Source organism: Homo sapiens, chromosome 1 (genome assembly GCF_000001405.40).
Source record: "Homo sapiens chromosome 1, GRCh38.p14 Primary Assembly".
Lineage (NCBI taxonomy): Eukaryota > Metazoa > Chordata > Mammalia > Primates > Hominidae > Homo > Homo sapiens.
Window position 1 is genome coordinate 7,706,051 of NC_000001.11, and position 21,845 is coordinate 7,727,895.

Consider the following 21,845-nt stretch of genomic DNA (forward strand, 5'->3'; position numbering starts at 1 on the left):
CATTTCTCTACAAATCAGGTATCAGAATAGATTTCTGAAATGATGATATTCTTGCAGACTGTCTTCTTAATCAGTTGCCTCACCAGGGAAGGACGACAATTTTAAAGTCCATTTTCTATTTTGCCCACTTTTACTTGATAGGATTTCTGCTGGCAGCCTGAAGTATCTAATCCCGGAAGCGGACTCAGTAAACGTGAGAGGTGCCCTCAGATAACTACAGAAATGCCTCCTGTGTTTGGTTGCTTGAATGAATGCATTATATTTTTTCCACCAGTGAGGCCAACCCCTGACTTTTTAAAATTGTGCTCCCAAGTTTTATCGATAAAATGTCTGGCTATTACATACAAGGAGTCTTTTTCTCTTACTACCTTGAGGAACTGAAGTGTTCCGTTTCCCTGCAGAATCTGTGTCTTATCGAGAAACTATTGCTGGGAACCGGATCAAGAGAAATGCATTATGCAGAAGCACTTTTCCTGCTGTGTGTTTAGAAAAAAAATAGTTATTATTCCAAGACCAGAATTAGACACTAGCAAATAAATTTGTTTCTCTTTTTCTTTGTATTAGATTTAGAGAGTAATAATGTTTAATGTCCAAGAAAATAGCATTTACTTACAGCGTATGCATTTCCTAAATAAATTTAACCTAGTAGTGAAAAGAAGCAGAGAACTGCTGTGTATTCCTGAGAGACCTTGATGAGGTCGTCCTGATTAATTATAATCTGAACAACTCAAATGGAAATACAGTATTTCATGTACTCGTTAATAACAGTCTTGTTTGTATTATTTAAGGATTTGGCTTTGGTGATACCCTGGCGGATGCATTATTTCAGGCTATTCTTTTTTTTTTTTTTTTTTGAGACGGAGTCTCGCTCTGTTGCCCAGGCTGGAGTGCAGTGGCATGATCCCGGCTCACCACAACCTGCACCTCCCGGGTTCAAGTGATTCTCCTGCCTCAGTCTCCCGAGTAGCTGGGACTACAGGTGCGCGCCACCATGCCCAGCTCATTTTTGTATTTTGGTGGAGATGGGGTTTCACTATGTTGGCCAGGCTGGTCTTGAACTCCTGACCTTGTGATCTGCCTGCCTCAGCCTCCCAAAGTGATGGGATTACAGGCGTGAGCCACCGTGCCTGGCCCAGGCTTTTCTTTAGTCTTCTATTTAGGACTGAACTGGGCCTTTACTAAGAGCTGTCACTGCTGCAGTGTATTCATGTGGGGCTGTTCTAGAATCCAGTACGTGAATAACAAGTGGAACTGAGTATTATTTACTTAATATGAGAAAGATAGCAAAGTTAAAGCATTGGTTGATATGAAAGTTTCCCGAGTGAAAGGTGTGAGGCTCTTTTTGAAACAGGTTTCACTCTGTCTCCCAGGCTGGAGTGCAGTGGCATGATCATGGTTCAGTGCAGCCTCCACCTCCCGGGCTCAGGTGATCCTCCCACCTCAGTCTCCTGGGTAGCTGGGACTACAGGTACACACCACCATGCCCGGCTAATTTGTTGTATTTTTTGTAGAGATGAGGTTTCTCCATGTTGCCCAGGCTGGGCTCAAACTCCTGAGCTCAAGTGATCCACCCGCCTTTGCCTCCCAAAGTGCTGAGATCACAGGCGTGATGGTGGGAGAAGTCCAGATGTGATGTATTGAATTACATTAAAAACCACAAGTTAGTATTACTCACATTTAACATTTCAGAAGTGCTTATTAGCCTGCTGGGTGATACCAATGGGTAGTGTCACATCATGTCATGGGGATGTTGGCGTTCATAGTCATGGAGACCTTCAGTTAGAGTCTTCTCCTCTTCTTGAGTGAATTGCCCTGAAGTCAAATGACCATCTTTTCTTTGCTATTCTCTTATGTGACTACATTTGGCTTAACATGACAGGCAGACAAGGAGATGCCGTCGCCATCAGGAGATAGTTACTCTTCACCCCACAGGCAGTACAGCAAGTGACTCATTAAAACCATGATATGATACCTTGTGAATAGTAAGTTTAAAAATACGGCCAGGTGTGGTGGCTGACACTTGTAATTCTAGCACTTTGGGAGGCTGAGGCAGGTGGATTGCTTGAGCCTAGGAGTTCAAGACCAGCCTGGGCAACATGGAGAAACCCCGTCTCTACAAAAAATACAAAAATTAGCCAGGTGTGGCGTTGCATGCCTACAGTCCCAGCTACTCAGGAGGCTGAGGTGGGAGGATCGCCTGAGCCTGGTAGGTGGAGGTTGCAGTGAGCTGTGATTGTGCCATTGCACTCCATCCTGAGCAACAGAGTGAGACCCCATCTCAACAAAACAAAACAAAGAATAGCCAGGCGTGGTGGCTTTCACCTCTAATCTCTGCACTTTGGGAGGCCAAGGCAGAAGGATTGCTTGAGCCCAGGAGTTCAAGGCTGCAGTGAGCCATGATCATGCCACTGCTATGCAGCCTGGGCAACAGCAAGACCCTGATTCAAAAAAAAGAAAAAGACAGTGGAGGGGGAGAATGCCAGTATGATCTTGTGTAATGCTTTATTTCAGTAAAGTTCCTTTGATAGACTAACTGGAATTTTAGTTTATAAAGTATCGTGATCCCTGTAATTTGCTTAATTTTATATTGTCTTATAAACATTGAAAATAGAGCATAGCTTTAGACATGATGTGGAGAGACTGGTCAGCTCATCTTTGAAGCACCTACTATACATCAGTTGCTTAGCAAATTAAAACTAATAATTAAATATTACTTTGAGGAAGGTAAAGTATACGGAGTTTAATGAGGGTAAATGTTTCTAGGAGTTAAAGTGCTGATCATAAAGCTACATAATGTTTTTGTAATGTGGAAGGTGATGATAAGTCATGTAAATAAATTTCTCCATTATATTAAACTAATATTTATCAACTACTAAAAATTAATCATTCTCTCCATTTTTTCAGCTTTCGTGTTTCACCTGACTTTCACCACCCCATACATCATGTTTCACTCTCCAGCTGGCCACACCCCATCCTCAGCCACACAGCATGAGCCCTCTGTCACACGCAGCCAGGCTGGTGTGCTGGTGTGCTGGTGTGCCTACCGTCACCCATACTCCATGTTAAATTCTGTCTCTTTTTTCCTTTGAGCCTCACTCAAGTCTTATTAATGAAGCTTTTTTTCTCCCCTCCCAGATTAGATTAACAGCTGTTTATGGGGTGCAGAGGGGCCCCACCTAAGCTGTATCTTCTACTATGCCTAGCATAATGCCATCTGGGACTTGAAGTTTCATGAATACTGTTAGTTGGCAAAGAAGTTATCCAGCGTGATGCTACTCATTAGATAGGGTGAGGAGACTGTAATGAAATGTGTTTCTTCAAGCCCAAGACAAACGTGATCCTACTCCGTGCCTTTGGTTCAGTCTTGTTTGTTGGTCATTTAGGCACAAACTCCAAATGATTTCCCATGCAGGTCAGTTCAAGGAGGAGTGAGAGGGTCGAAAATCAATCTATGTGGATGTGAATCTAAAGCCAACTGGTGGATGTGAGTTTTCACTTAGGTGGTCTTGAGGTGGCCCTAAAAATCCTGGACACTGTACCAGTGTAAAATAGGCCTGACACCTGAATCATTTTCCCAGACTGAGAATATTGGCCAGAAGCCCACTGTCTAGGGATGTGTGTAGGTAACAGCTGTTCTCTTTCATATAATACAGCAGGATGGGCACTGGGTGTTTCAGCTCTACCATTCACTCAGTGAGAAACCTTATGTAAATTACCTTGTATCTCCGGCTCTCTTACCTGTTTTCCAAACCCATTAGTGGTTCAGAAAAGCATGGTCACCATCATCAGATTTTAAAATCAGAGTGCATTGCACATAGTAAGCGTAAGTATTGATTTGGGAAGCTTTTTGGTTTCCATATGGGAGTGTGTGTGCTGGCTTCTATTTCTTTCTGTGGACCACAGTTTAAAAAAGTTGAAAGCCACTAGACTGGATATTTCCTAATTCTCTTTCAATTCAGCTATTCTGCTGTGATTCTTTTCTGTGGTATGTGTCTGTTATGACGCCACATTTAGCAGTCGCATAAGGCCTGAAAGAGTTAAGATACCTCCATATGTATGAATTCAACAGATAGTCTCCAGCCAGGCCAGAGCTCAGTATACCTTTCCTTGTCTTACTGAATGTTTTGGCAGTCAACATTGAATCAGTGTTTTGAATAAGCAAGACAGTTTATTGCTACTGTCATTTATCACATGTTTTGTAGATAAATTCTAATGCTGCAAGTGACAAAACTCCACCTCAGACTGGCTTACATAAAAAAGGGAACTTGGCCGTGTGTTGGCTCACACCTGTAATCCCAGCATGTTGGGGGGTCGAGGCAGGAGGATCTCTTGAAGCCAGGAGTCTGAGACTAGCCTAGGCAACATAGCAAGACCTCATCTTTAAAAAAAATTTAAAACAAATAGCTGGACACAGTGGCACACACCTATAGTCCCAGCTACTCAGGAGGCTGAAGCAGGAGGATTGCTTGAGCCCAGGAGTTTGAGGCTGCGGGTGAGCCACGATTACACCACTGCACTCCAGCCTGGGTGACAGAACGAGACCCTGTCTCAAAAAAAAAAAAAAAAAAAAAAGAATTTATTGACTCTTAGGAAGTCCAGAATTAGTGTTATCTTCAGCTAGAACTAGCTCTAGATGTACAATGATGTCATTAGGCCTCCCCCATTGCCCCCACCCCACTCTCCTCCTCTATGTTAATTTTATTCTCAAGCAGGGAAGGGTCCCCAATATGGCAGCAGCAAGATGGCCCACTCTGAGCTACAGGCTTATCGTCTGCCAAATTACCAGATGTCTCCAGGAAGACAGCTCTTATTTCCCTGTAGTTCCAGGAAATGTCTCATCTCTTATTGGCCCATCTTGAGTCACGTGTCTAATCTCTTGAATAAGGGGACATGGTCCTCTCATTCATAAGGCCTGGCTCATACACCCCTGGAGCCAAGAATTGGGCTCTGCGCCACCTAAACCGGGTGCAGTTCCTTAGTTCAGGCTGCTCTAACAAAGTACCATGGACAGGTGTCCTGTAAACAACACAGATTTATTTCTCAGTTCTGGAGGCTGAAAGTCCAAGATCAGTGCCAGCATGATGAGGGTCACTTCTGAGTTGCAGACTGCCAACTTCTTGCTGTATCCTTACAAGGTGGAAAGAGGGCAAGTTGCTCTCTGGGGTCCCTTTTATAAGGGCACCCATATATAATCCCATTCATGAAGGCTGTACTCTCAAGACCTAATCACCTTCCAGAGGTCCCACTTCCTAATACCATCACGTTGGGAGTTGGGATTTCAACATAGGAATTCTAGGAAGACATAACATTCAGTCCATTGCACTCCCCAAGGAAGAAGTAAGGTGCCCTGATCAGGGATGAAGGAAGGGACGCTAGGGGGGCCAACTGTGAAGGAACCAATAGGTTTTGGTCTTCACACTTGATTGTCATAGTCCTAAAGAAAACACCATCCTGAAGCTACAGAAACTCACTCTAGGGCTTTCTTCCTTGCTTTTATTCTCATGGTCCCATTTTAAATGAGAAAGAGGAACCAGAGCCCATCACCTTTTAGTGAATCTTTAAATGGATATTGACTAACAATTTCTAGGACCATTTCCAGAAAGTATGGTTCAATTCCTTAGTATTATACACTGTGGTTTGGATTAATCACCAAAGAATTTATTTAAATATCCTCTTTTCTAGTGAAAGAAGCGATGTCACTCTAGCCAGAACCAATGCCCCTGGCGCGCGTGTGTAAGATGTTTTATCTAATGATGTAAAAAATAGGAAGTACTTAGCCTAAAACTGATGATTCTGAAAGCTTTTAAGTCAGTTGAGTAATATTTCCCAGAAAAACAGTGCAATAAATGGCAGGTAGGTTCCCAGGCTAGCCAGAGAACAAAAACCTTTTGGGACCCACTATAGATACTCTGCATTTGCAGGAGAGAAATAATTAAAATAATGTGTGTGCACATATATATGCATATTATAAAACATTGAACTACATAATCTATAAAATCTATCAATATATAACATACAAGTATGTATTGCAAAACAAGTGAAAGAGTGAACCTCGCATTTATATATTAAGTGATGCTGCTTAAATAAGGAAATATATAAAATAACTTTGGTAAATGGAAACAGTTTTGGTGAAGATTCTTAATTCACAGGGTAGAACTCAAAATGGTTCTCTGAAAATACAGTCTAGTTCTCTAATGTTTTAGAGTAAAGTTGCATAGAATAAGTAATATAAATTTATTGATAACCTAACTCCAACATTATTCATTATAATTACTATTTTTTTTTTTTGAGACAGGGTCTGACTCTGATGCCCAGGCCGAAGTGTAGTGGTGCAATCTCGGCTCACTGCAACTCCCACTGCCCAGGCTCAAGTGATCCTCCCACCTGAGCCTCCCAAGTAACAGGGACCACAGGTGTGCATCACTGTGCCTGGCTAGTTTTTGGATTTTTTGTAGAGACAGGGTTTCATATGTTGCCCAGGCTGGTCTTGAACTCCTGAGCTCAAGCAGTCCACCTGCCTCGCCTCCCCAAGTGCTAGGATTACATGCCAGAGCCACCACATCCAGCTCAATCTTACTTTTATTCCCAAATGGAACAAAGAGAGTGAAAGAAATCTTTCTGAGGTGGCTCAGATAATTAAAACAAGGATAGGGAAATAGTCCATTTTCATGCTGCTATGAGGAAATACTCCAGACTGGGTAATTTGTAGAGAAAAAGAGGTTTAATGGACTCAGTTCCACATAGCTGGGGTGGCCTCACAATCATGGCAGAAAGCGAAGGAGGAGCAAAGGCACGTCTTAACATGGCAGCAGGCGAGAGGACGTGTGCAGGGGAATTGCCCTTTATAAAACCATCAGATCTCATGAGTCTTATTCACTATCACGAGAACAGCAGGAGAAAAATCCACCCTCATGATTCAGTTACCTCCGACTGGGTCCTGTCCACGACACATGGGGATTATGGGAGCTACCATTCAAGATGAGATTTGGGTGGAAACACAGCCAAACCATATCAGGAGAGGTTGGATTAAAGAAGTGATTCTGTCTGTCAAAGGTTGTCTGAAGTGGAATTGACTGACCACACAGAGTGAGTGAGGGAGTCTCCTGAGATGGGAGAGAGGCAATGATAGTGGGGAGACATTGGGTCAAACCATTTCCCACACTGATCTCTGGTTGGCATGCACCATTCATCCACGTAATTTTATTGGAGTCTGTGCTAGGATGGAGTAGCACCTGAGCCTGATGAGAGAAAGAGGAGGAAGAGTATGGACCAAGACTTTCCTAACTCGGAGACTGTCTATATCAAAAAGGTATCCTTAGGGCTAGTTTCCTTCCCAAACTCTTCTGTGGGAAAATTAGTTTCAGGAAATGCCTGTAAGAACTGCCCCCCAGCCCCCACCCCACAAAAAGTTTCACATAAGTTTAAGAAACACACCTACTATTGGCGATTATCAGTTTATAGCATCTGTTAGCATATTAGGGTTCAGAAAAGTCTTCCCTTAATGAGGTGTAAATGTGTTTGTGTTTCACCTAGTATTTCCAAAACATCTTTGATACAACATTTTGTGTTTGCTGATCAATAGCTCGTGGGAAATGTTCTGCAGAATGCAACCTAGGAAATGCTTCAGCAGATAGACCATCCTCACAAAATAGTTCTGAGGCCGTGGCATGGTTCTTTGAGCCCCCTGAAATTGAATACAAGATCTTATATGTACGTATGTTTCTAGGAGAGGACTCACAGCCTTTATAATTGTCAAAGAGCCCCTGAACAGAAAGCGCAAGAATTGTTGTTAAGGGCTCTTTTCTAACAAGGGAAGTTTCAGTTTCTCTTAAATTTCTCTTATCTGTATATTTCATATCAGCATAGGGGATATTGCCCGGTGAGCACCGCAGCCACTCGGGGGTCCACACTGAAGAGGCCAAGTTATGAACAGGGGCTGGGCAGTCACTTGATTATTGTGTTTATGGTTGAACAGATTTAAAAATTGGCAGCTACTCTCTTTCCACCACGAATTGTGGAAAGATATTATCTATGCAAGACACTGACTTTTAGCCAAACTCCAGGTACATTCAATTCTGAAAACAGAAGAAACTAATGTGTTATTTCATTGCAGTAAAGAGACTTCTTGAAAAGTGAAGGCCCACTGACCTGCAGAAGAGAATGTTGAGAGTGATTTAGTAATATGCAACTTAAAACCAATGAACTATAGAAAGCTTTTCCTTCAAGAAATTTAGAACATCCAACTCATCTACATTCAGATTTAGAAATCAGCATGTATTCCTCTGAATGGTCTACCTTTAAGCCAATTCATCAGAGCATCCGAGAGCTGTGAAGTTGGACCACATTGGACCTTTGCTGAATCGCTTCGATGAAATGGTGCTTTGGTGTTCCTTAATACCAAACAGTAATAAACAGTCACTTGAAACCTAGTAGTGCTTTTGTCGCAAGGATGTTGAAATCTATTAAATCACAGCATCCTTTTTTTTTTGGAGACAGAGTCTTGCCTTGTCACCCAGGCTCTGGCTTTGGGCGCGATCTCAGCTCACTGCAAGCCTCTGTCTCCTGGGTTCAGGTGATTCTCTTGCCTCAGCCTCCCGAGTAGCTGGGACTCCAGGTGCGTGTCACCACACCTGGCTAATTTTTGTATTTTTAGCAGAGACGGAGTTTCACCATGTTGGTCAGGCTGGTCTCAAACTCCTGACCTCAGGTGATCTTCCCGCCTCGGCCTCCCAAAATGCTGGGATTACAGGTGTGAGCCACCACGTTTGGCCCACAGCATCCTTCTTATTAGGACCTATGGGAGAAATTTATTTCAGATCCTAGTACCAGGGAAAGTCATACTATCCAAAGCAACTGACGTAGTGTGATCTTGAAACTCACTGCCCCCTTTTGCTTTGTTTGCTACGTTCAGCCCCATTTGGGACTCACATTTCACCATTTTGGAGGGTTTAGTCTGTGTTTTCTGTGAAACAGTTTTCCTGGAGCTTTCTTTTATTCTTGTCTGTAACATCATGAGTCCTGATTTTGCCTGATCTGCTATTAATCACAAGTATTTTTGTTAGCCACCTCACACAGGATTGTTACCAGTTAAGTGAGAGCAGGAAGGGAAATAAAGAGGCCCGGGGGAATGGGCTGGGACAGGGAAGGAAAATCAGGAAAAGGGGGGAAGAGCAGAGAACAGACTAAGGAGCATCTGGAGGTATTAGGGATTCGAGAGAGAGGATCCTCAGAAACAGTGCACAGTGCCACCGGAGTTGGCTATTAACGTTTTGTTCCATTATTTAACCATTCCGTCAACCACTTGGGGGGGTTCTGTAAGGATCTGCAGATTGCATAGCCCCTGAAACTGGATGAAGTCAAGCTGCATCCCATAGCCACACACTTTTTTTTTTTTTTTCTTGAGGCACGGTCTCTCTCTCTGAGCCAGACTGGAATGCAGTGGCACAGTCATGGCTCACTGCAGCCTTGAACTCCTGGGCTCAAGTGATCCTCCCACCTCAGCCTCCCAAAGCGCTGGGATTACAGGTGTAGCCACTGTGCCAGCCACATCCCCCTTTCACAGAAAGCACCCTTAAGTGTTTTGCTTTTTTACGTAATCCAAGGGATGCTTTAATGCTGGCCTCAGTAATTCATACATTTGTTCAGGCCTCACTGATTTGAAATTTGCAAAAATCGGAGGATGACTCTGGTCTAGGGGTAGGGTGCCAAGGGATACTCAGAGGAACTGAGTGCCGTGCCGGCATGGGAGAGCAGTCCTTGATGTATTCTGATGTGGCATAAGGAGCCGAGACATGAAAGAATCCTCACAAGCATCCTGACACTACTCGGAAGAAGCTTAATGACTAAAAATTTTCTGAAACCCTGTACTTCCCTTGGGGAAATAGTTTATTTCTGAATAAAATATTTATGTGGTATATTGACTTTTTAAAAATATCATCTATTTATCAGAAGGGTCTATGATGAATTATAAAATTGTTTTGCTTTGTTTTATTTTGTTTTTGAAACAGGGTCTCACTCTGTTGCCCGGGCTGGAGTGCAGCAGCATGATTGAAGCTCACTGTGGCCTCCACCTTCTGGGCTCACGTGATCCCCCCATCTCAGCCTCCAGAGTAGCTGGGACTACAGGCTCATGCCACCGTGCCCAGCTAATTTTTTTATGTTTTGTTGAGATAGGGTCTTACTATGTGGCCCAGGCTGGTCTCCAACTCCTGAGTTCAAGTGATCCTCCTGCCTCAGCCTCAAAGTGCTGGGATTACAGGCATGAGACACTGTGCCCAGCTAATATTCTTAAGTCATTTTATCCATTAGGACCTATTTTATTAGCCCCTAATAATAAAGATAAAATATTGGACAGATATTTTATCCAGAATCCAGCTATTTATTTTAAAATATGTACATTTCATTCTACTAAGTTGGGAAGGACTTATTTACCTATATGTTTTCCAGATTTTGTAGCACTATGAAAAACATTATAATTAATAAACTTGTGAGTTCTGGAACAGAAGTCTCTCATGTAGAATCCAGTATTCAGAAAAATACATATTTTTGGAACGTCTTGGGCTTTAACTCTCACAAGTTAGCAAGACAGTTAGCACCGTCTGTGCAGATGGTCCCCCTAGAGTTAGTTCTGAGAGCCAAGCCTTGCCAATAGCAGTCCTAAATAATGTATGGAGAATGAGCTTGGCACAACTAATGAGGATCCAGCAATCCCACCACTGCGTCTGTAGCCAAAGGAAATGAAATTAGGATGTCAGAGAGAGATCTGCACTCCTGTGTTTATTGCAACACTGTTCACAATAACCAGGATACGGTAGCACCCTGAGTGTCCATCTGTGGATGAATGTGTAAGGAAAATGTGGTCTGTGTCTACAGTGGAGTACTATTCAGCCATAAAACAGAATGAAATCCTGCCATTGCCAACATCAGAGCTGAATATGGACAGCATTCTGTGAAGTGAAGTAAGCCAGGCACAGAAAGACAAATGCCACATGATCTCACTCCTAGGCAGAGTCTTAAAAAGTTGATCTCATGGCAGTGGACAATAGAATAGTCATTACCAGAGGCTGGGAATGGGGACGTCGGGGAGATGTTTGTCAGAGAATGTGTATTTACAGTTAGACAGGAGGAATCAGTTCAAGGGGTTATTGTACAGCCTGGTGACTCGAGTTCATCATGATATATTCCTGAACATTGCTAAGAGGGTAGATGTTAAATGCCCTCACCACAAAAATGATAGCTGTGTCATTATTTAATGAACAAATGTACTCCAAAGTACATTTGTACATAGTGCATTACTATGTAGTACATTTGTTAATTAGCTAGATTTAATCTTTCCACAACGTTCATGTACTTCAAAACATCAGGTTGTATGCAATAAATACGTACAATTTATGTCCATGTCAAAAAAATTTGAGGCCAGGCGTAGTGGCTCACACCTGTAATCTCAGCACTTTGGGAGGCTGAGGCAAGAGGATCACTTGAGCCCAGGAGTTTGAGATTAGCCTGGGCAACATAGTGAAACCCTACCTCTACCAAAAATACAAAAAATTAGCCAGGCGTGGTGGTGCATGCCTGTGGTCCCAGCTACTTAGGAGGCTAAGGCAGGAGGTAGAGGCTGTGGTGAGTCATGTTTGCACCACTGCACTCCAGCCTGAGCAACAAAGCGAGACCCTGTCTAAAAAAAAATAAAAAAATAAAAACGGATATATTCTTATTAGCTAAAAGGTGACCATGAAGGAGCTGCTTTTAATAACTTGGCTGAAAAAAAGCCCATCATAGAAATGACTCATGGAAACAAATATTTGTTCTACATGTTATTCTGTACCTTGTTCTTCTTGAAGTTCACGTTGTGTATTTCCGATAGTTGAAATTAAATCATTTCGTCAATAAATATTTACAGAGGGCCTACTGTGCACCAGGAATTTCTGCTAGGCCTCAGGAATGTAGCGGTGACTGGGATGAACGTAGTCACTGGCCTCACTGAGCCAACACAATTTCTCTTTACGTTCATGTATATGAGACCGAGTTTCTGGTGACAAAGGCTCATATCGTGTTGGGTTTTTGTAGTCCCGGTGGCTAACAACTTGAGTTGTCTTGTTCACCCTTAGTTCCCTAGAGCCTTGGCGCAGTCTTAGCCAGCAGTGGGCGTTCCGTAAACACAGTGGGCGTTCCGTAAACACAGTGGGTGTTCCGTAAACACAGTGGGCGTTCCGTAAACATTTGTGGAATGAGTCCGTTCTGGCCGGATTCTCCATAGTTCTTCCCCAAGGATTTCAAGTGGTGTTTTGATCATGCTAGGCGCCACCAAACAAGCCGCTGGTGCTTAATTATTGTATCCATACCTCCTGACAATTCCTGCTCACTTTGTCGTTTCTGTCTTTGCAGTTTCCCTTCTTAAGTGTTAGGATTTTCATTTTCCATTTTCCTTTATATAACCCATTTAAATCACGCCTTCATGTCCAGGTTAGATCATTCATTGTTCATCTCCAGGTCTCATTACAGCACTTTTTTTTTTTTTTTTTTTTGAGACAGGGTCTCGCTCTGTCACCCAGGCTGGAGTGCAGTGGTGCCATCTCAGCTCGCTGCAACTTCTGCCCCGCCAGGTTCAGGCGATTCTCCTGCCTCAGCCTCCCGAGTAGCTGAGAATACGGGCACATGCTACCATGCCCAGCTAATTTTTGTGTTTTTAGTAGAGACTGGTTTCCCCATGTTTCTCAGGCTAATCTTGAACTCGTGACTTCAGGTGATCCCCCTGCCTCAGCCTCCCAAAGTGCTGGGATTACAGGCATGAGCCCGGTCAGCCCTTTTTTTTTTTTTTTTAAAGACCTCATTAGTCTTAGGAGTAATACGCTTTCTCTGTTCTTCTACATTCATTTCACTAGTCTTACTTTAGAATGTCTCAATTCTTGTTTATAATATTTCTGATTTTCACTGTGCACTGAAACTGTTGAGGCAGTGTGCTCCAAACTTGTTGCTTTCTGCAAAGTTAGCCGACTTTAAGATGTTCTCCTCTTTTGTAGACTCTTTAAAGGTGGGTGCAGAATCTGTATGGGAGTTCCAAATCTCTTTTGTGCTTCATGCCAATTAGCTGCAGTTTTACTACCTTTGTCTTTAGTTGGATTTGTTACTTCACTGACAGCAGAGTTGGCTCCTGCGTGGTGGAGGTGCCGTCGGTGCCTGAGACTGTGTTGTGATGTGGCTGCCTGAATGTTCCTTGGAGAATAGGTTTGAGATTTTCACCCTGAGACACCCCTAGCTCTAGTATTGAAAGATTTCAAATGAGAGATGATTGTCAGTTTGCTTTGCTGCCCTTGTAACATTTTGTCTAATCACTGTTGGTCCGTTGTTTTGGCAGTATCCTGAATGATTTTTCTGAACAAGTCCAAGACTGAATATGGGGATAGTGTAAAACAAAGATCAGGAAGAAGAAATATGGATGCAGAATTATGACAAATGAAGAAGTCCTAAGCAGCATTGCTCATTGCCATTTCTAGTGTTTTGGTATACAGAGTCAGAGAGTTTTCAAAAAGTGGAGTATGGCGGTTTTTTCTACGGCTAAATTTAGCCATTGCTTTGGAAAATCAGAGTGGTACAGCTTGTGCCTCATCTCCACCCGGCCCTTACCCTTCCCTCTGCACTTGGACATCTTAAACGGCTTGCCAGGGAGGAGCAGCTTAATATACTCTCGTGGCACCATTTATTCTGGGAGGGAATTAAGTGACTTCATTTTCCCTGTCCTTCTGAGCTTCCTAAAAAATTTAGGAGACTTCCTAAGCAGCGCTCACAGTGCTCTACAGAAATAGTTGCAGGCATGCCTCCTTTGCCTCCTCAGCTCTCCCTGCCAGGGCAGCCAAGGGCTGTAAGTGGAATGAGAGATGGATGGCAGTGGGAGAGCACATGTGCACTTGAGCTACAAATAACGTGTTTTAAAATAGCAGATGGTATTTGACGATTGCTTCTTCATTCACTTACCTGCCAAGGCAAAACTTTTTCTTCTCCTCTGGCAACAAGACCTGAGATGGCTCAGCTCAGCAGTTGTAATAACAAGTTCTCACGTTTGCCGATATTATTCATTAGCTGATGTGCAGGCATTCATATTCATGGACGCTTTCTGGGGCTGTTCTAGAAAGTGTTCCTTTTGTTTAACCCGATCGAAACCTCATGTTTATACAACAGTTGAACCTGGCTGACTTGTTAAACACCTTGGTAACTAACGAAAGCCACTCCTTTCATTGAGGGGCGCTGCCAGTCATTTGTATTCCAAATAGTCCATTTTTCTCTTGAAAAGGGGGAACATCTCAAAGTTAGGGGTTGGGTGGTTTTTTTTGTTTGTTTGTTTGTTTTGTTTTTGAGGCAGAGTCTCACTTTGTCGCCCAGGCTGGAGTGCAGTGGTGCAATCTCGGCTCATTGCAACCTCCCTCTCCCAGGTTCAAGCAATTCTCCTGCCTCAGCCTCCTGAGTGGCTAGGACTACAGGCACCTACCACCATGCCTGGCTAAATTTTGTATTTTTAGTAGAGACGGGGTTCACCACATTGGCCAGGCTGGTCTCAAACTCCTGACCTCAAGTGATCTGCCTGCCTCAGCCTCCTAAAGTGCTGGGATTACAGGCGTGAGCCACCAGGCCAAAGTTAGGGTTTGGTATTTTTCATGAGAAACTCAGTGGCTATAGAAAAGTGACACTGCTGGGAAGTTCCAGTGTGTGCCTGTGAAGAAGTCACCTCATACCCAGCCTTGCTTCCAGAGTCTTCACTGTAGCTGCGTGGTTTCCTTCCCTGAGCTTAAAGCAGATGGCAGCCAGCCGGGCAGACACTTGCTTTCCAAGTCAGCTCTGCTGGCCTTGGATCACTTTGACCATCCTCTCTTGCCCCTGGACAGGTGATAAAGCTGCTCACTGGTATATGAGCCACCTGGACTGCACCTGGGGAGCGGAGGCTGCTCAGGGTTCTTGCCCCAGAGTTTGGATGACCTCATCAATAAATAGGCTCCCAGGAGCTTAAATTAGAAAATAATCCTTTCCACATGCACTCACTTTCTGAATGGTGCTAGGGATACAAGACAAGGTCCCTGCTTTCAAAAAGCTCACATTCTAGCCTCTAGCAGGAATGACACCTAGGAAAAGAACTATCCCTTCATTGGCTCAGTACTGTTAGGACCCAGGGCAAAATGTGGAAGGTTTACCAGGCATAGCAGAAAGAACACTGGTCTGGAGTCCAGTCTGTGTTCAAATCTCTGCCCTGATACTTACAAGTGGTATGCTCTTGGGTAAGTAACAAATTTTCTTAGCATCAGCTTCCTCATCCGAAAATGAAGGGGAAAATCTTTATTTCAGAGTCATTTTGAGGATTAGACATAATCCATGTAAAATGTCTGGCTTACTGTAGATGTCCAGTAGCTGCTATTATTATTATTAATAATATTGGAGTGATGTCTGAGCCACACTCTGAAGAGTTAAGAAGTTCACCAGGTGGATGAGGAGAAAGGTTGGCCTCGGCAGAGGCCCAGAGGTAAGTAAAATTCCTGGTCGTGAGCCAGGAATTTTGGAGAACATTGAGTTATGAGAGAACCCTAGAAACGTAGCCTGGGATGGTTGGTAAAGAACAGTCCATTCTGTGTCACAACAAAGAGTTTACATTTTATTTTGTATGTTCAGGAGGAGGGATTTATTTTACCTTATTTTTATTTATTTATTTTTTTGAGACAGAGTCTCACTCCATCGCCCAGGCTGGAGTGCAGTGTATTTTTATTAGAGATGGGGTTTCGCCATGTTGGCCAGGCTGGTCTTGAACTCCCGACCTCAGGTGATCCGCCCACCTCAGCCTCCCACAGTGTTGGGATTACAAGTGTGAGCCACCACGCCCAGACAGAGGAGGGACTTAATTTTTTAAACTAAATTATCTGATAAAATATCAGGAACCATCTCCTGGTGTATTGCTCAGTACAACCAGGAAAATTGATTAGATTTGAAGATTGAAAGTGAGTTGTGTAAAATCCAGAGGAAGCAGTAGGTGCTGCTGGGGCCTGAGGGCCTGGGAAATCTGGCTAGGAGCTGGTTTCCTGGCATAGACACTTTCTCACTCACAGCAGACGCCCAGACACTCGGGATTCTCCACTTTTACAGCAGCAAATCCCAGCCCTTCTAAACTTAGAACACACTGTGGGTGTCTGATTTCATGAAATTGTCTCTGTCTTTAAAACATTGCTAAGGAATTTTAAACATTTAAATGAATATTAATTTGGGACATTTTAAAGTGAGTCCCTTTGAAGGTTAGGAACCCCTGTCAGAGAAAGAGGAAAAGATGTCCCATGACTGTGCTGTGTGACACTTCGTGGAACAGCTGTGATGGAGAGGCTAGGATGGGGTCGACCCAGCAAAAGAAAAGGGAATCTGAAGCCCCAACTAACCATTCCTTGACCCTTGGGCCATTGTTTGGAAGAGTTTTTTCATCTTCTTCTTGATCGTTGTAATACTCAAAGCTATTCTGGGATTATGAGTCTATTTCTATTTATACTTATGCTTTCTAATATTGTTGGAAACTAAGAATTGAAGTATAATAAGGTAAATGAATATACTACTATACTATAACCTATGCTTATACTTTTGAGATACAGGAGTTAAACCTGAAGGTCTCTTTTTTTTTTAGTTTAATATATCAATAAGGTTTCTTTTCAGCATTTCATTTATCGGTTTATTACAGCTAGGTAACACACACAGTTACTTTCATCATCATTTGATCTATTTTTAAAATGCCAGCTGGGCATGGTGGCTCATGCCTGTAATTGCAGCACTTTGGAAGGCTGAGGCAGGCAGGAGGATAGCTTGAGGCCAGGAGTTCAGGACCAGTCTGGGCAACATAGCAAGACCGCAGCTCTAAAAAAAAATACCCTCAGAAGGCTCTAATAAACACTGCAGTGCTATAGTAGACACAGAGACATCAGTAGGAACTCATGTTTACATTAGTGTGTATACAGGTAGATATATACATATATACGTATATTTCCTAGCTTTCCCATCGAGAAGGCCTAGAAGCAGTGATACCTCAATAGCAATGAACGCTCAGCACCCAGATGTTCATTTCTAAATACCGTTCTCCAATAAAAAGAACCAAAGCTCCACTCCTTAGAGAAATGGACAGTTCTAGGATTGGCACAGGGGAAATGAGAGATGAATCTGGAGCATCTTGTAATGCCAGAAAGGAAGGAAGTGCTAAAAGGAAGAAAAAAGGATGAGGGCACGTCAGAGGGGCATAAGGGTCAGCCGGAAAGAGCTCCTGATGGCCAAAGCTGGAACACTTGGAGCAACAAAATAAATAACAGTATCAGATTGTGACCCAAAGTTTAGAATAAATGTACAGGAGTCCATACTGATATAAATAAGTGATTGACTAAATACATAAATAAATAAGGACAAATCTTCCTTACAGGAGAACTCCAAATAATATATGTAGATACTCCCCCGTCTGCGAGGTGGAACTTAGTTACCCTCTTGTTGTTGGGACTGGACTTAGTGACTTAGTTCCAAAGAACGGAAAGAGAAAAATTGTAACTTCACAGTACAGCAATGTAGCAAACATTGCCTTAACCAAATGATGGAGGCTGACCTCTCCAGGACATCATTATACCTCTGATTGTATGTGATGAGCAGGGTGCCTCACCTCTGATACTCTTCCTAAAAACCCAGAACCCAGTCTAAGGGTTAGAAAACACCAGGCAAACCTAAATTGAGGGATGTCTCCAAAATACCTGACCAGTATTCTTCAAAACTGTTAAATTTTTGTTTGGAGATAGAGTTTCACTCTGTCACCCAGACTGGCAGGCTGGAGTTCAGTGGTGTGATCTCAGCTCACTGCAACCTCTGCCTCCTGGGTTCAAGTAACTCTCCTGCCTCAATCTCCCAAGTAGCTGGGATTACAGGTGCCCACCACCACACCCGGCTAATTTTTGTATTTTTAGTAGAGATGGGTTTCACCATGTTGGCCAGGCTAGTCTCAAATTCCTGACCTCAGGTGATCCACCGGCCTCAGCCTCCCAAAGTGCTGGGATTACAGGCGCGAGCCACTGCGCCCGGCCTAAAACTGTTAAAATCTTGAAAAGTAAAGGAATATGGAGAAACTGTCACAGATCCAAGGACACTAAGGAGACTTCAAAACTAAACACAATGCGGGATCCTGGGTTAGATCCTGGAACAGAAAAAGGACATTCATGGAAAAAGTGCTAAAATCGGTTTCAAGTCTTTAATTTAGTTAATAGCTCTAATATACCAATACTAGTTTCTTAGTTTTGACAAATGTGCCATGGTTACATAAGATACCATGTTAGAGGAAACTGAGTGAGGGGCATATGGGAACTCTACGATCTTTGCAACTTATCTGTAAATCTAAAATTACTCGAAAAAATGTTTAATTTTTTAACCATGCTCCCATAGATGGGGCTGGGCAGAAGGCCCCAGTCTACTAGCTCAGGCATAAGAGAGTCATATTCCTTCAAAAGATTGCATGTATGGGCCGGGCGCGGTGGCTCACGCCTGTAATCCTAGCACTTTGGGAGGCTGAGGTGGGCAGATCACGAAGTCAGGAGATTGAGACCATCCTGGCTAACATGGTGAAACTCCATCAATACAAAAAATTAGCCAGGTGTGGTGGCTCATGCCTGTAGTCCCAGCTACTCGGGAGGCTGAGGCAGGAGAATGGCATGAACCCAGGAGGCGGAGGTTGCAGTGAGCCGAGATCGCACTACTGCACTCCAGCCTGGGCAACAGAGCGAGACTCTCAAAAAAAAAAAAAAAAAAAGATCGCATGTATTAGTTTATTTCATCCTCACAAACAAGAAGGGATATGTATATAAATATCCCCATTTTACAGATGAGAAAATTGAGGTGCAAAGTGGGAATCATTTTTCCAAAGTCACACAGTGACAGGATTAAACCTGGGGCTCTTATTTCTACTCCAGTGTTCTTTGCACTGTCTCAGAGCTGCCCAGGCTGAAACTGCTGCTTCCACAAAAAAGGAGCACAGGGAGAAGAGGTTCATGAAGAGAAGCTTTGAATGAATCAGGAGCCGGACGGTTGCTATGAAAGCCGTCAGAATGATTGAGTTTTTGTCCGGGGATTTACATGCGCGTGCATGTCTGGAAGGTAGCGGGAAGGAACTACTGCATGAAGGTGAATGTATCCTTCCTCATTCCCTGGAACCTTTCAGGAAAATAGACTGCTTTAGAGAAACACGAGAGGCGGAGACAGACACCTGGAAAGACAGCCCATGTTGTCAGCTGAGTAAAGGACAAAGTAATAAAGAGGTCAGATGCAATGGGAATGGTAGAGGAGTACTTGATCCGTTGCAGACAGCAGTGCAGGTGGCTGGGTTTTAAATCGTTTTCGAGTATCGCCTGGTCTGAGTTGGGGTGCTTGAGAAGAAAATGTGCACCCAGTTATTGTCAACAGAGCTACTGCGGATGGCTCTGGCATGGTTCACATGAGGTGATGCCTCACATACCCATGCTGGGTAGGAATCTCTGCTTCTGTTTGAGCAGGTGGTTCTGGGATCATTCTTAACAGGCACTTGGGTGGAGGAGAGAGGAGTCATTCTTTCACTGTGGAAACAGGCCAGGGTCTTAGGGCAGCGGTTCTTGAAATGTGGCCCTAGACCAGAAGCATCAGAACTGCCTGGGACCTTGTTAGCAATGCAGCCTCTGGGTCTCACTCAGACCCACTGGACCAAAACTCTGGGAATAGGGCCCAGCAGTCTGTCTTAAGAAGCCCTCCTAAAGTTTGAGAACCTCTGGTCTAGAGGAATGGTCACTGGGATGAGCAGAAGCCGCCATCTAGGGCAGCACACAGCCTCCAGCCAGGAACAGGCGGGTGGGTCACACACACAGACTCACAGCCTCCAGCCAGGAACAGGCGGGTGGGTCACACACAGACTCACAGCACACGGCCTCTAGCCGGGAACAGGCAGGTGGGTCACGCACGGAGAGTCTGCCACTGGAAGGGAAGCTGAGACTCACACCCAGAGGTTCTGCACCAGAAGTAAGACATCATTCAGAGCTCACTTTGCCTGAGTCTTTAGATCCAGGAGTTATGGGACTTACCCAGAGGGGTTAAGAGTTGGGGAACCTCAGCCCAGTTGACACTTTATTTTGTATCATTTGATACTTCCTTGTCTGTCAAAGGATTTTTTTTTGCTTTTGCCTTTTCCTACTCTGCCCTGCTCTTCCATGCCCTCAGAAAGTTTATAGTTTCGCTGGGGAGGACATGGCTGATAGCTCAGTGTAGTTCTGGATCTAACATTCACCTATACACCCCGCAGGATACAAACTATATGTATTTATTTATAGCCTCCTATGTGGCCACAAAAGTTTGGTCATTGTTCCCACTTGAAGGTAGGGTATCATTGCAACTAACTTTTGTGAGGTTTGTATTGATACCTAGAAGGCTCTAAGTAGGTGGCTCTTTATACTGTTTTTTACTGAAGCATGTATGTGTAGAAATGTTATGTAAATTTTTATTTTCTTGGGTAAAATGCTTAGGATGGTGGTGTCTGTCTCTGGGTTATGCGTCTGTCATCCTCATGTCTTCAACAGGAGGCCAGCCTGTGTTACTAGAAACAGGCCTCTGTGCACCTCTTTTCTGTACCCTTGCCCAGAGTTCACTCGCTGCAGCAAATATAGAGTGCCTGTTCTGTGATGAAGCAGGAACTTGTTCTTCCGGTGCGACGGATATAGCCTAATATTTCAGGATAAGAACTAAAAATCTCAGAACCGCCAGGCAGGAAGTGGAGCTAGAGCAGCTGGCTTTCTTTGCGGGGACCTCTGGAGCCTCCTGTGGCCTTGAGCCACCTCTGAGCCTCATGTGCCCATGGAAACTTGCACTTGTAACTTTCCTTCTGTGCAGAATTTTCTCCCGATGGAGTAGTTCAGCTGCTTCACTTGGACTGTCCTAAGGACATCCACTTGGAAGCCCTCAAAGCTCACCCTGTTGTCTTTGTTTGAAGCATCATGGGTAAGAACTAGGACCAAACTCATCAGCTCCCTAAATCTACGCATTATTCCTACTCCCCTTTCTCTGCCTTGTATTAATTTTTTTTTTTTTTTTTTTGAGACAGAGTCTCGCTCTGTCGCCTAGGGTGGAGTGCAGTGGCGCGATCTCGGCTCACTGCAAGCTCCGCCTCCTGGGTTCACGCCATTCTCCTGCCTCAGCCTCCTGAGTAGCTGGAACTACAGGCGCCCGCCACCACACCCGGCTAATTTTTTGTATTTTTAGTAGAGACGGGGTTTCACCGTGTTAGCCAGGATGGTCTGGATCTCCTGATCTTGTGATCCACCTGCCTCGGTCTCCCAAAGTGCTGGGATTACAGGCGTGAGCCACCGCGCCCAGCCTCTGCTTTGTATTAATTTAAAACTCCAGGTTTGTTCGGGCTGCAGAAATTATCTGTTGGTCGACAAAAGAGGGCAAGGATATTTTCACTGCTGTTCTAAGTACTCCCTACTGCCTGGTGCATACATAGTAGGTGCTCCAGTGAATATTTGTGCATGAATAAGTGAATCTTTCAAATGTACTTATTTACTCTAATGTAATCAGAAATTCTTCTTTGCTTCTAAGTAATTGTATTCCCTATATCCCGTAATCACACACAGCATACAGTTAAAGCAATGCACAGCTCTCAATTTGCCAAATATTTCACAGTGTTTTAATTATCCTAATAAAGCTGTAAAACCAAAACAAGCGTAAAGGCGTTGCTTTTGGCTTGCTAGTGTGGAGATGTAAAGACCATCATTTTATCCATCTAAGCCTTACAACCTCAAGAGCTGGGCCCTGGCCCCGTGCAGAGGAAAGGACATGTGAGGAGAAAG

General features: G+C 43.8%; 1 protein-coding gene across 43 annotated transcripts in view; it reads left to right on the forward strand.

The window, feature by feature from the left end:
- CAMTA1 (calmodulin binding transcription activator 1) overlaps window positions 1-21,845 on the forward strand; it is a 984,253-nt gene that overhangs the window by 920,597 nt on the left and 41,811 nt on the right. The window contains exon 12 of one of the 43 annotated variants that reach the window (XM_011541091.3): window positions 8,114-8,429. The exons of 40 other annotated variants lie outside the window; for them this stretch is intronic. In XM_011541091.3, coding sequence (XP_011539393.1) covers window positions 8,114-8,136 — 23 coding nt within the window. In that variant the 3' untranslated portion in view covers window positions 8,137-8,429. Of the gene's footprint in view, window positions 1-141; window positions 2,860-4,557; window positions 8,430-21,845 lie in introns of those variants that run through there. 2 more of the 43 variants (XM_011541092.4, XM_024454331.2) reach the window with 2 other exon arrangements.